Genomic DNA, 15,072 nt, shown 5'->3' on the forward strand with positions numbered 1-15,072 from the left:
TTTCCTTGTTCACTGTCAGTTATTCTCAACTTACAAGCTTGAGGGTCAAACTCATTATGACCAAAAGCTCATTATGACTAAAATGCAACAAAACCTGTTAAAAATAATGCACCACATTTCATAGGATGGAACCCAGACTGGTAAACACATCAATATTATGCAAACTGTGTTCCACAGAACACTAATGTGCCTGCAGATATTAATAGACATTGGGGTGGAGGAGGGGAAGGTTTTGTGAAATACTGAGTTACATACCAAGTTGCAAGCGCCTTTTCTGCAGACCGTCTTGCTGCATCTTAATCCTACTGCAAATCCAGAAGGGGGGCCGGGGGGTTGATATGCTACCAATTTTTAACTTTTAAGTAAGTTAAAAACAAATTTCCTAGAATCCCTCTTTATTTGTAAAAACAAAAATAAAACAATCTTAAAGATGTGCTTAAACAATGCTCTCATTTAAAATTAAAATAATAACTGGCCGGCCGAGGGGGCTCACCCCCATAATCCCAGCACTTTGGGAGGTCGAGGAGGGAGGATCATTTGAGGTCAGGAGTTTGATACCAGCCTGGCCAACATGGTGAAACCCCATCTCTACTAAAAATACAAAAATTAGCCACCCATGATGGTGCACGCCTGTAATCCCAGCTACTTGGGGGGCTGAGGCACGAGAAATCGCTTGAACCCAGGAGGCAGAGACTACAGTGAGCTGCGATCACACCACTGCACTCCAGCTGGGAGACAGAGTGAGACTCTGTCTCAAAAACATAAATAAATAAAATAAATAAATAAAACTACAATAATAACAAACATAGCACATTATTATTTCTAAACATATTCTCTCCTTCCAAAGTGCTCTTCGTAAATGGCAGAGATAGGATATTGCTCCAAGGATCAGGCTCCTACTATTATAAAAAAAAAAATGGAGGCGCTTATTTCATGGTTAAAAACTCCATCCCTGATTACAACTGGGTCACGAGGTTAAAAAACGAAGACTCCATTTTACCTATTAATTTGCATATGTGACACACTAAAGATTTTTCATACCCGTTTCTCTGATCAAATGGCAGTTCTCTCCTACCTTCTAAGATATAAAACCATATCTGTCATTCCATTTCTGATGTGAAAAGGTATAATTGTAGTAATTACTAACAGATAAAATTACCATATGTAGAAATAAGTAATCTATGTGAATTAATAAAGTAACTTGTGAATATTAGACATTATCATTGGGGACAATAATGGAGTGAATTTGTGTATAACCATGCCTGTCACATCATGTTCTATAAATATCTGAAATTATTATTATGCTTATCATGAATTTAGAAGATGCTAAAATTCTTGCATATTTAGCATTCAATAGGTTTCCTGAAGATCCTTGTATTTTATTGTTAATTTAAGGAAATATGCTCATTAACTCTGAACGGTGAAAATAATAATTGTTTAAAAGCAGAAAAAAAATAATATTTTCCCCAGTGTCTAATAAGAAATAACATTATGACAAGATATAAGGCAGAGAGTTAAATATAATATAGTCTCAGTGTCCACAGAGTTTATCTAGTGGGGGAGATAGCTGTAAAGGAGACGGGGGATAAAGAAGAAAACAAGAAAGAGGAAGAAGAAGAGGAAAAAAAGAGGTGACAAAAGAGGAAAACGAAGAGAAGAAAGAAGAGAAAAAGGAAAACAAGAAGAGATGGAGCAGAATAAGGCGGAAAAAAGTAAAAAAAGAGGAAGAGAAAAGGGAAAGTAAAAAGAAAACTAAACTTTTATTGAGACTTACTCTTCTTGTGTATCAGGCATTCTGAGTGTTTTACAGGTTTTGTTAATTTAATCTTTACAACAACCTTGTATGCTTGGTAATATTATACCCATTTTAATGATTAGGAAACTGAGGCACAGGCAAATGAGGTAACTTGCTACCATCATGACGAATGTTCGAGTCTGGCCACGCTCCAGGCAGGTTGATTGTGGAGCCTAGGTTTGTAACCACTTCACTAAGAATTACAACATTACCTATCATCCTAAAGTTAAGATAAGGAAGAGGGTGGCCACGGGCCCAGAGGAAGCATATAGAGCTGAAGTTGGGTCTAGCAATGCAGGAAGGGCTTCCTAAAAGGAGTGATGTGAGAAGAGTTTGCAAGAGTCAGTCGGATGAAGCAGGGAGGGGCATCTGAGTCAGGCACAAGTAGGCTGTGTGAATTCACGATGGATTGAAACAGCAAGGCTCATGAAGGTTCAAGGGCATAGTGCATGCAAGGGGGCTCCTGCGACATGGCCAGGAGTTGGGACAGCAGTGCTGCAAGCCTTGCAAGAGAGTTGACAGCAAGACGGATGGGTATTCAAGTGATCCAGTAAGAAATGAGGAGGGCTGACCTATGCGAGGGGAAGTGTTGAAGGATAGAGGGGTAGCAAATAAGAGAGAAATTAAGTTCAGGAGTAGAGAGGTGGTTGGCAGTCCATTGGCTACAGAAGTTGATAACGAGGGAGCAATGAGGATCCCTCCGTGGATGCTGGCTGGGGTCGCCAGGTAATTTGGTACAATCCTCCACATTAGAGATTACAGTAGGAAAACAAACAGGCTTGGGAGGAGAGGTGTTATGTTTGATCTTGATTTAAGATGCAGGATATTGAATTATAGATGCCTAAGTGGCAGTTGAATATAGACGTTTTGAAATGAAAGAAATCTCCATTGAAGATATAATTTTAGAGACATCAGTTTATAGTTAGTAGCTGAAGCCATTTATTTGGGATCGATCACCCTAGGAAACAATGTTTACAGAAAGGAGACCAGCCCCAGGGAATGTCGGCACTTATGATGATGGCTCTTAACCACACCTTTGGCAGGCTCAGCACACTTCCATCAGAGATAGCGCCAAAATTTCAAGCCATGATTTTCAGTGTATTAAAATGCATTGGCTTATTGATCTAAGAGGTCCAGAGAAGAAGAAGAACTTGGGGAGAAACAGCCAGAAAGGTATAAGAAAAAGCTGGGATATGTTGTACAGTGAGTCAGATACTGAGAGGAGAGGCTTCAAAAAGGAAAGTGTTCAGTGGATGTGGCCACACAGAGTTCAGTGTTGACCTTTCAGAGCGAGAAGGGCCTAAGAAGTGTGAAGGGCACTGAGGAGTCGGAACAGGTGAAGACAATGTGTAACACGGTACCCTGACCTGTATAGCGCCCGGTGGGAAAGCGATGAAGACAGAAGAGAAACCTCAAGGGCAACATGGTTTTAAGCATTTGTATTTTCAAGATGGAAGAGACATGCAACAATTGTTGTTGAATTCAAATACTTGTATTTTTAATATGGGCTAAAAGTAATAAAGCTAATTTATAACAAATATGTGACAGCGCAGCTACTTCAAAATAAACTTACAAGTGAATAATTCTCTCACATTTTTGCTCTCTTCTGAATAATTAAAAAGTTTAAGTTTAAATGGAAAGGTAAAGCCAAATATCTGCCTCAACACAGGCATACTTTTTAATGGGTCTCTTATACCTACACAGTGACAAACTAGAGTTGAATTTCTCAACTAAGGCTTTAACAACTAACACACAATCCATATAACTGATACCTGGGAACATGCAAACCTCTATCTATGCTTCTATTTATCATCTTAGAAGGAGTTAGAAACATCTCAAGGATCAGCATTAATGAACTTTGTTCAGATTCCATAAGACAGTATGTGCACATTCCATAAATTATGTCAAGGAAAACACACACACACACACACACACACACACACACACACACACACAGGGAGACCTAAGACTGAAGATACAGAAGAAAAGATGGTGGAAAGCAGGTAAGAGCACAGGTTGAGGTCTCAGTCTTGGTTAGAAGGAGAGAGAGAGAGATGCGTCCTCTACTAAGATCCAAGAGCAACAAGAAAAGAATAGTGGGTACAGAGAGATTTTTAGATGTTGTGGCTAGAAGAAAGTATTTGTTCATTTAGTGACCTCTATTTCATCTGAAATATGTTTCAACGTCATCTTTGGAAATTGATGAGGTGAATGGGATAGAAAGCTTGAAAATGAGGTAAGAATGTACAATTACCTCAGAGGGGAATGAGAGGTGGCTGAAGCTGTCACATAATTGCATCCCGAACAAAAGCAATTATTTAAAAATAAACCCCTGTACGATAGAGAAATGAATCACAGAAAAAGCTAGCAATATCCTTCAAAGTGAGAAAACATGGTGTTTCTGATTTTTCAGACAGAGAGTGCACCTACACAAGGGAATGACTACCAGCTACATTATAAATTGCAATTTGGTGTAAATATTTTGTTGCTTCTGTTCCTGCTTCTACAATAATCGTGAAAAGCTCGCAGACATGGGGCGGGTATCTATTAAAGTTAACGCAGGTTTAGTGTCTGATTCACTGAGATTCCACTTGCAAGGAGGGAGGGAGTAAGGAAGAGTGGGGCAGAGGGCTTTGGAGCAGAAGGCCTCAGGATGCCAAAACTCCAAGACACATACTTAGGGTGACACACTCTCCACCCTTAATACACACCACAGAGCACCAACCACCTGCTTACGTCTTTGAGAGTGAATGAGTTATCAAACTTCATATGGAATGCTCTCCACTCAGGGAATCTTTTCCTCACTGGACACTAGTCCTCCAAAACAAAGATGTTCCTTTCTTAATTAATTGTTCAATTATCAAGTTCCAACGGCAGCTTGTTTTAGTTATGTCTTAATTAAATGGAGTTGCACATTTAGAAGCAAAAGGAATAAAGAATTTCTAGAGAAACAATTTCAGAAAGATTAAAACTCATTAATTTTAGAATTAAGAGATAGCCAAACTTCCACACACCATTTTTGGTCACCATAATGCCCTATAGTATTAGGATGGTATCCAGGAAGCCAAAATGAAAGGAAGCCTAAACAATTTACCTATGAACTTTATCCAGGTAAGTAGATTTTGACTGAATGTGACTATGAAAACTTATGGCATAGATATCAGCTGAATATGGATCTATATCTACTCATCGAGTAGCTCAAATAATTGGCTCTGTCATGCTATGATTCATGGCCAAAGAAGACTAATCTGGATAAATTAGATATTTAAAGGAAATTCCAATCATTTTAATTCTTCTATTTTCTTAAGTTTTCATGTTTTCCCTTTGAGCAGAATGCTACACAATATTCTCATAATTTTATCAATTTGTCAAAAAATGAACATTAAAAATATAAAGTTAAAATATCGAAGAGATCATCTTTTAAGTTTTTTAAAGGCCTGGGCTTCTTCTGATTTTCTTATATTCTCCTTCCTTTTCCACCAACCTCCTAGGGACCAGCAAGATTACACATTACAGGTGTTCAGGTAAATGTTTGTGTTGACATCGTTGTAGTTCAAGTATATGCTTTTGTTAGGTTTGTGACTATAAAAACAACATAGATCAACATGCCAACCAAAAAGGAAATAAGACTTGCATTTCTGATCAGTGTAAAAATACCAGTTTAGATTGTATCTTTCCTTGACCATCAAGGCATTCTGCCACGGTGACTAAAAAAATCTTTCCGCAATAAAGTCCCCAAATATATTGCCTGGTAGGTAGAAACAGTGCTGAATTTCCTGGTGTTTTGCCACTGCTGGACTCCAGTAGATTCAATGATATCATCATAACCAAAAGACATGGGAAGGGTTCCTGATAAAGAATAAGAGCTGAGGAAACTGCCTGATGCACAGGATATTAAAAATTAATATTTTAAGGGAAATACACAAATTATGCTAATAATTGACAAATTACATAGAAATGAATTAAGAAATTGGTTATTTAGTATCTTCCCCTGAACATAGCCACGTAGTTGCATTTCACAGAAATGTGAAACTACTGAGACCTTTGTAGACCATGATACTATCTTTTCCAGCTGTGGTATCTTACATTTGGAAACATGACAAAGAATTCCTGTCACTTATCGCTTATATTATTTCTAATTCTTCCATTTTATGTCACAGCTATTTCAACTATCATAAGTTTAATAATACTTTTAAGTAAAACAAAAACCTATTATTGACAGCATATAAGATACGGTTGTAATTTCATTTTCTTTTCACATTTTCATTAAAATTTCCAGAATGTCTTATACTTTGCTTGGTATTATTTAAAATTGTTCTTGAATTTAAATACTTGTACTTTTAACACTTGCTAAATGTAATGAAGCTAATTTACATCAAATATGTGACAGGGCAGCTACTTAAAAATAATTTTACAAGTGAATAATTCTCTCACATTTTTGCTGTCTCCTGAATGATTGAAAAATTTAAGTTCAAATGGAAAGGTAAAGCCCAATCTCCACCCCCAACACAGGCATACTCTTTAATGGGTCTCTTATACCTAAACAGTGACAAACTGAGTCGAATTCCTTAACAAAGGCTTCAACTACTAACACACAATACTTATAACTGATACTTGGGAACATGTAAACCTCTATCTGCGCTTCTGTTTATCATCTTAGAAGGAGTTAGAAACATCTCAGGGACCAGGATTAATGAAATTTGTTCAGATTCCATAACCATTGTAACTTATGCATTTTGTTAAACATCCCTTGCTATGACATAAAAACCACCAGGAAAACTTCAAAAAATGAATAAAAACAACAGCAATAACAAATATCCAAAACTTTATCAAGCAAAGCCACACGAAATGCGTTGCTTGAAACCAAAGAGCTTTTGCAGTTAGTGAGTGTCTGAGGATCATGCTTCTTGTATTTAGAGTCCAATTTACTTTCAGGCCAGCACATATAGTAGGAGACTTTTTTTTTAATCTTGTTTTTTTGTTTTGTTTTGTTTTAAATCACAGAATTTCAGTGCTTAAGACATTATCATTGGATGGTATCCCAGAAAATTAAATACAAATCCTTGTGCTAGAGAAGGCTGTTCATGGTCTTCATAAATCTATTTAATAGAAATCAAGAGCCTTCCCTCCAACAGATTTGGAAGACCTGACTTAAATAATATTAAGTGTTCCATCTAGAAATGACATATCAGAATAGACTCAATTCACCCCTCTGCCCTCCAGAGGGTCCCAAAATATAGTCCTAAATTGTGACTTTCTGTGAGGCCCTTCACTTAAATAGCATGGGTCCAGTGTGACTTGCGGATATTACGAAAAACAAAGCATTACTTTTCAAAGTTCATAAAGCATTATCCCATTTCCTCATTGTCCTTGGTATTTAAATATTTTTCTTTTCTTAAAGCTTGCATTGTCCAGATAATAATTTCAATCTTCCACTTCAAACCATGGCAATAAGTACCACGACCACAAAATAAGTAACCTTGGGCAAGTCACTTAACCTCTCAACTCTTAACTTCTCCGACAATAAATCTGTCGGCAAACATGCTGTCTATCTGTTCTCTGAACAAATATCTATTAAGCTTCAATTGAAGAGAGGCAAGGAACTTGTGTTCCCTGCTAATAGTGCTGCTCAAGTACTTACATAATGGGTGCTTAAGAAACATATTGATAGCTATCTAGTAAATGTAATTCCTACATAAGAGAAATACATTTGCATTTCTCAGCAAAATGTTGAATATTTGTAGAGCAGAGAAAAAGAAGCAGATGAAGAGTGAAGCATCTTTCTTACCATTCAATACAGGTTCATTCAATACTGATTGAATGAACATCTATAAGCAATAAGTACTGAATGAACATCTATCTACGAGGTACCTCGTAAGATATGCGGATGGATCAAGCTGAAAAATATCTGGCCCCCGACGGATGAATCTTATTATTGAGACATTATTTATTCACAAAAATGATGAGGTAGCAATGCAATATTGCGTTAAAAAAAGCACAATATTAAGGACTAAGATATAGTGGACTGCTTCTGGATGTTGTAGACAGAAATTAAAGTTAGAGAAAAAAATCAAGGTGAATTGGAATCTCAAGATAAGTTCAGAAGGAAAATGAGGCCCTTGACTCTGTGCCTCTTAGGAAGCCAAAAATTTGAGTATAGCTTGAGCATTAAAGGAGCGACAGCAGCGTGGAAAAGACAAAGACAAGAGAATGTCCAACACTCAGACAGCATGAGACTCCAGGCCTTTGGAAAGAGGTGGCTGGCATTATGTGGAGGCCATGCAAGAGAAAATAGGCAGCCACTAGAGGAATGGGAAAATTAAATTGTCACTAAGGAAGAGCAGACTACCTGCTAGTCTGTTCCTGTAAGCAGAACTGAAGGCAGGGACTGCAGACAAAGTCTTTCGTAGTGACACAACCATGAGATGGTAATGGTGAAAATGGGAACGCAGATGTAATCCAGTAAGACAAATTGACAAAATGTATTAATATGATGAAGAAAACGGTGCCCTCAAAGGAGACTCCTAGATTTTTAACCCTCAAGGATCAGAAGAACAAAGATCCTAATGACAAAAATGGTGAAAGGGAGACAGTGGATAAATTTGGCTTTGGAAATGTCGGCCTGAAAACATCTGTGATGGGGTTCAGAACATGTCACTCCAAAAATATGGTGCCTTGACATAGTGAATAGTCTAAGCTGGAGGAATCTAAGAAACAGCAGATGCTGAAGGGACTCTCTGACCTTCCCCCAAAGCAGGTCATGAGACCCTCACATGAGAGGTGCCCACTGTATACCCAGAGGAAAGGAATGTCCTTATCTGAAGACAGAGGGACGCCAAGAGATCGAGTGAGCAGGCTTTGCAAAGCTTCCTCCGTGCAGCTCATGACCTTTTGTTCTAACATGAGGTGGCTTGAGGTCTTCATTTCTTTATGGAGGCTCCCATGCCATATAAAACTCAGCTTGAACATATTTGTAAGCTTTTCTCTTGCCAATCTGTCTTTTCTTATAGGGGCCCCACTTGAGAACCTAGAAGAGCAAAATAAAAAGGTATTTTTCCTCCCCTACATCTGTAAATATAAAACTGAAGATACTGGTTTTGTAGTCAGCAGCACAGTCATAGCTAAAACCTTGATGAGATAGTGCCTACTAGAGGGATGAGGGCAAAGGGAGAGAGAAAGCAAGGAAGGTGGAGTCAAAGGGCCTGCTCAGCATTAAAAGGTCAGGAACATGAAGAAACCCCGTCTCTACTAAAAATGCAAAATTAGCCAGGCGTGGTGGTGCATGCCTGTAATCTCAGCTACTCAGAAGGCTGAGGCAGGGGAATCGCTTGAACCCGGGAGGCGGAGGTTGCGGTGAGCCCAGATCGCGCCATTGCACTCCAGCCTGGGCAACAAGAGTGAAACTCCATCTCAAAAAAAAAAAAAAGGGGGTCAGGAAGGGCCTACATGAGGGAGGGAAGGGAGAGCTCAGGAAGTCAGAGAGAAGAAGGCGCTGTAAACCAGGTTAGAAGAATCTTTCAAGGGGAGGGACCTCCACTGCGCAGTACACATCCAAGAGAATCCAGTGAGGATACAAATGATTTAGCTGGAGGAATTCAGTGGATACCCCTGAGACGGTAAGATAGGGTTGAAGTGAAAGTCACGCTGCAAGACACTGATTAGAAAAGCCTGGTGAGGAAGTGAAAACAGCAGTCCTTCAGACGCAAAGGAAGGTAAACTACCCAGAGATACAAGGAGCTTCTCACTATTGGAAAAACCAAATGAGGAGATGTGAGAGTGCCTTTGTCTGAATGGTGGATGCTTCTCAAGTCTGGCTTTGCCTATATGCTGAAAGAGAATTTTCACACTGGTGAATCTGGAGTCAAATCAAGTATAACTACTTAATTTTTTTTAAAAGAATTCATAATAATGCCAAAGAAATAACTGATATTTCAGACTCGGCACCTATACTTTTGGCATCTTCCTCTATTCCTCAGAGAGATAAAAATATACAATGTGACTAATATAATGGTTATTTTTTACACAGCTGATTTTTTATGTTGCTAATTTTATGCTCCTAATTTTATGCTAATTTTTTTGCAGTAGTTGTTGTTATAAATAAATAATCTCATGTATGTTTTCAGTGAAAAGAATATTTCTATTCAAAAACATGCTCTCTTCATCAGGGATCATAGGGCAAACCTTTTTAGTACCCAACCTAACAGTCTCATATTTAATTATATTTTGCCTTACACTGTTCTCTAGTTGTATCCCATATGATCTCTCTTAAATTCAGGAAAAACCAAGTCTATCAACTACCAAGACATAATCAATCAGTATCAATACTAGAGTATCATTTGTATAGCACTTTACAAAGCAATTTTATATATCTTATTGCATATTATAATTGAAACCTCACAACCACCAAAAAAGCCAGTAGCATTTTCTCATTTTACTGAAAATATTGAAGGCAGCGGAGTGAACAAGCTGGGGTAACCCAGCTCCTGCACTCCTTGTGTTAGAGCTAGGGCAGAGCTCTGACCCACACCCCATAAGGCAGCTCTGCTCTGGGATGAACATCTTTGAGGAAGTTCTACCACAGGCACAGATAACCACCTTTCCTCAGTCACAAATGTTTCCCCTGTAAGTTAAAGTCCATAACCATAGGAGTGCATGCTCTTTATTCTGCCAATGAACACACTACTTCCTAACCCTGTTTCAGATACCCAATGCCTATGCTGTGACTCCAGCTTCCCCTTTCTTCTCTAAGTATGCAGGAAAATCGATCACCTGTTCTTGAGGGCTCATGTTAAGTTTAGAGTGTCTTCTTAGGTTAGTTTTTATCATAAAGTCTCTGTAGGAGTGAGGTCATTCACTTCTAAAATGGGTGAGGCATGATGCTTGGTACCCAGGAATGTGTGTCTCGTTGCTGTGATCCCTGGGTCTCTGAGATCCCTCTTAAAGAGATCCCTGAATAATATAGGCATCTACACATGCAGCCCCCTTCTGTTGTGTTCTCCTGGCACTGAGATCTGCTGCTGCTCCAATCCCCTCCTGGTGGGAGTCTGAAGGTTCCAGATAGCCTTGATGAAAAACTAAAACTTTTCCAGACGAAGAGCCTGAACACTGACATTTTATTTACATGGTTGATACTGAATGAAGTTCGATACTTATTGATTCATGCTTGTTTGCTAAGGGCTATGATGTAGAAAATGTGCTATTAAAAAAGGAAAATTTATTTATTGGACTATAAAGAATAGAGGCAATTGAAAGCCTGGCAACTCTATATATGGAACAATCCTTTTTGCCCCTTAATCATGGTAAGACAAATGTGAAATGTAGTAAGTGGCAACTTGCTTCTCGTGCAGGCCTTGGTTGCAGTTGGGAATACGTGCGCTGTTCACAGGGAGAAGATGAATCAACTTTGGAGGGGAAAAATGAAGAAAAAAGGAAATGGAGGAAAAATATTATCCATACAAACAGCTACATTAAGAAAATTATTAGTAATGTCACCAAAAGTCATAAAGCTTAATTCTACTTATGCTACAACCCAAGCTTGGTGACAAGTAGAGTCTCACAGGCCAGTTTATGAAACTTTATAACACAGCAGAGATGGGAACCAAGTGACCTGGGCAGTCACTGTCTCTGCAGTCCTGTGCAAGTATCTGCTAGGGAGACTCTTCCTCCAGGAGCCTGGGACAGCATCGAGGCAGTTTGGGTATCTGTCCCTACCTAAATCTCATGATGAATTGTAATCCCCAGTGCTGGAGGTGGGGCCTGGTAGGAGGGTTTGGGTCATAGGTGCAGATCCCTCATGGCTTGGTGCTGTCTTTGTGACAGTGAGTTATCACAAGATCTTGTCATTTAAAAGGGCGTGGCACTTGCCCCAACCCCCACATTCTCTTGCTCCTGCTTTCACTGTGTGAGGTGCCTGCTCCCTCTTTGGCTTCCACCATGATTGTAAGCTTCCTGAGGTCCTTACAAGAAGCTAAGCAGATGCCAGCACCATGCTTCCTATATATTCGTGAACCAATTAAACCTCTTTTCTTTATAAATTACTCAGTCTCAGGTATTTCTTTATAGCAATGCAAGAACAGCCTAACACAGAAAATTGGTACCTAGGAGTGGGGCTTTGCTATAAAGATACCTGAGAATGTGGAAGCAATTTTGGAACTCGGTAATGGACAGAGGTTGGAACAGTTTGGAGGGCTCAGAAGAAGACAGGAAGATGAAGAAAAGTGTATAACTTCTTAAAGATTGATTAAATGTTTGTGACCAAAATGCTGACGGAGATAGAGACAATGAAGTCTAGGCTACTGAGGTCTCAGATGGAAATGAGGAACATAATTGGGAACTACAGCAAAGGTCCCATGTGGTATGCGTTAGCTAGCAAAGAGCTTGGCTGTATTTTGTTCATCCCCTAGGGATCTATGGAAGTTTGCACTTAAGAGTGATGATTTAGGGTATCTGGTGGAAGAAATTTCTAAGCAGCAAAGTGTTTAAGAGGAAGTAACTTGGCTGCTTCTAACAACCTAAGCTCAGATGTGGGTGCAAAGGAATGACTTAAAGTTGGAACTTATATTTAAAAGGAAAGCAGAGCATAAAAGTTTGCAAAATTTGCAGGCTGGCCATGGAGCAGAGAAAGAAAAACCTTTTTGGGAGAGGAATTAAAAAATTTTAGTTATGCAAATATAGCAAAATTGGCAAAACAAAAGGGATCTAAGTGCTAACATCCAAGACAATGGGAAAAAGGCCTCAGAGGCATTTCAGGACCTTCCCAGCAGCCCCTCCCATCACAGGCCCAGAAGCCTAGGATGGAAGAATGATTTCATGGGCATGGCCTAGGTTTCTGCTGGCCTTTAACGCCTTGGGACACTGCTCTTCACATGCAGGCCACTCCAGACTCCAGCCTCAGCTCAGGAAACCTCAGGTACAGCTCAGGCCACTGCTTCAGAGGATGCAAACTGTAAGTCTTGGCACCTTTCATGTGGTGTTAAGCCTGTGGGTGCACAGAGTGCAAGAGTGAATGAGGCTTGGTACCCTCCACCTAGATTTCCGAGGATGAATGGAAAAGCCAGGATGCTCAGGCAGGAACACTGCTGTAGGGGTGAAGCCCCAACAGACAATCTCTACTAGGTCAGTGAGAAGGGGAAATGTGGGGTTAGAAGCCCCACACACAGTCCCAGCTGTGAGAAGAAAGCCAGCATCCTCCAGACCCAAGGATGGTAGATCCATTGGTAGCTCACACTCTGAGCCTGGAAAAGCCACAGGCACTCAACAACCTGTGAGAGCAGCCTCAGGGGCTTAGCCCTGCAAAGCCACAGGAGTGGAGCTGCCCAAGGCCTTGGAACCCACCAAAGGCTTAATTAACATCACGTGCATGGGGCCTGTAGCCCCTTTCTGTTTTCTTTTCTTTTTTTTTTTTTTTGAGATGGAGTCTCCCTCTGTCGCCCAGGCTGGAGTGCAGTGGTGTGATCTTGGCTCACTGCAACCTCCGCCTCCTGGGTTCAAGTGATTTTCCTGCCTCAGCCTCCTGAGTAGCTGGGATTATAGGGATGCACCACCATGCCTGGCTGATTTTTGTATTTTTAGTAGACACAGGGTTTCACCATGTTGGTCAGGCTGGTCTCAAACTCCTGACCTCGTGATCCACCTGCCTTAGCCTCCTAAAGTGCTAGGATTACAGGCGTGAGCCACTGCACCCAGCCACAGCCCCTTTCTTTTGTCAATTTCTCCCTTTTGGAATGGGAATATTTACCCAATGTCTGTGCCCCATTGTGTCTTGGAAGTAACTACCTTGTTCTATATTTTACAGGCTCATAGGTAAAGGTACTCCCCTTGTCTCGATGGGATTTTGGACTTTAGACTTTAGAGTTAATGCTGGAATGAGTTAAGACTTTTGGGGACGGTTAGGAAGGCATGATTGTATTTTGCAATGCAAGAAGGACATGAGATTTGGGAAAGTCCTAGAGCAGAATGATGTAGTTTGAATATTTGTCCTCACCCAAATCTTATGTTGAATTGTAATCTCCAATGCTGGAGGTGGGACCTGGCGGGAGGTGTTTGGATCATGGGGGCAGATTCCCTCATGGCTTGGTGCTGTTGTCATGACAGTGAGTTCTCACAAGATCCGGTCATTTAAGTCTGTGGCACCTTCCCCCCGACCCTCTTGTTCCTGTTTTCAACATGTGATGTGCCTGCTACCATTTTGCCCTCCACCATGATTGTAAGCTTCCTGAGGTCCCTACCAGGCTTCCTGTACAGCCTGCAGAACTGGGCCAATTAAACCTCTTTTCTTATAAATTACCCAGTCTCAGGTATTTCTTTACAACAATGCAAGAACAGCCTAATACAAGCCTCTACCTACTGGTCGGTGTTCACCTGTGTGTTGGTGGAAGTTATAAATTTTAGATGTTGTATCTGACAGTGTATAGGGAAGGTTTTGTTTTTGTTGTTGTTTTGTTTTGTTTTGAAGACAGAGTCTCACTCTGTCGCCCAGGCTGGAGTGCAGTGGTGCTATCTAGGCTTACTGCAGTGTCTGCCTCCTGGGTTCAAGTGATTCTCCTGCCTCAGCCTCCTGAGTAGCTGGGACTACAAGTGAGTACCACCACGCCCAGCTAATTTTTGTATTTTTAGTAGAAACAGGGTTTCTCCATGTTGGCCAGGGTGGTCTCAAACTCCTGACCTCAAGTGATCTGCCTGCCTCAGCCTCCCAAAGTGCTGGGATTACAGGAGTCAGCTGCTGTGCCGGGCCAGGGAAGGTGTTAAAATGAGAGGAATTTGATTCTGTGTATAAAGGGAGTTTTCAAGTTAATTCGGGATTGCAGCATAAATGAGTTGAGAGATGGCAAAAATGTAGGTATGGCTTCTACACAAGATTCTTGCAACTCCCTGAGCAATACACCCTTATTTGCTTAAGGTTTTTTAAGTTTGTTACAGTGCAAAAGAAGAGGAAGTCAATGGTAGCTTTAAGTTTCACATTGTGATTGCATGCTCAGAGCATCATTCAGCATCTCTGAAAAGTAGCACTTGAAAAAGTGTCTTTACATGATGTCTAAGAAAAGTAGAATAAAACACCTCTGAAGGTATTGATCATGTTACTTGGGAAAGCTCTAATAACTGGAACTTGTCAGGCAGGATGAAGCACTAGCCTCCTTTGGCATCAAGTTCAAAGAGATGGTGAGGCGGTGGATAAAATTGAGGCAAAGGAATAACAGGTAACTCCATCCTGTTTTAAAAGCCATAGATAACTGACAATGGGACTTGATTGAAAAAAAATCGAATACTGCACGGCAGAC

General features: G+C 40.3%; 1 protein-coding gene across 1 annotated transcript in view, besides 2 other annotated features; it reads right to left on the reverse strand.

Moving 5' to 3' along the window:
• Nucleotides 1-15,072, reverse strand: part of TOX (thymocyte selection associated high mobility group box) — a 313,736-nt gene that overhangs the window by 261,387 nt on the left and 37,277 nt on the right. The window lies entirely within an intron of this gene.
• Nucleotides 9,136-9,385: an enhancer, noted in NCBI's record as "active region_27415". NCBI's record gives its function as "activates an Ori minimal core promoter by ATAC-STARR-seq in GM12878 lymphoblastoid cells {active_cell/tissue: GM12878}" and the evidence as "EXISTENCE:reporter gene assay evidence [ECO:0000049][PMID:35858748]".
• Nucleotides 14,480-14,659: a silencer, noted in NCBI's record as "fragment chr8:59993837-59994016 (GRCh37/hg19 assembly coordinates)". NCBI's record gives its function as "represses an EF-1alpha promoter that drives an FKBP-Casp9 reporter gene in an ReSE screen in K562 erythroleukemia cells {active_cell/tissue: K562}" and the evidence as "EXISTENCE:reporter gene assay evidence [ECO:0000049][PMID:32094911]".

The sequence above is a fragment of the Homo sapiens genome, chromosome 8, assembly GCF_000001405.40.
Source record: "Homo sapiens chromosome 8, GRCh38.p14 Primary Assembly".
In the NCBI taxonomy this organism is placed as follows: domain Eukaryota; kingdom Metazoa; phylum Chordata; class Mammalia; order Primates; family Hominidae; genus Homo; species Homo sapiens.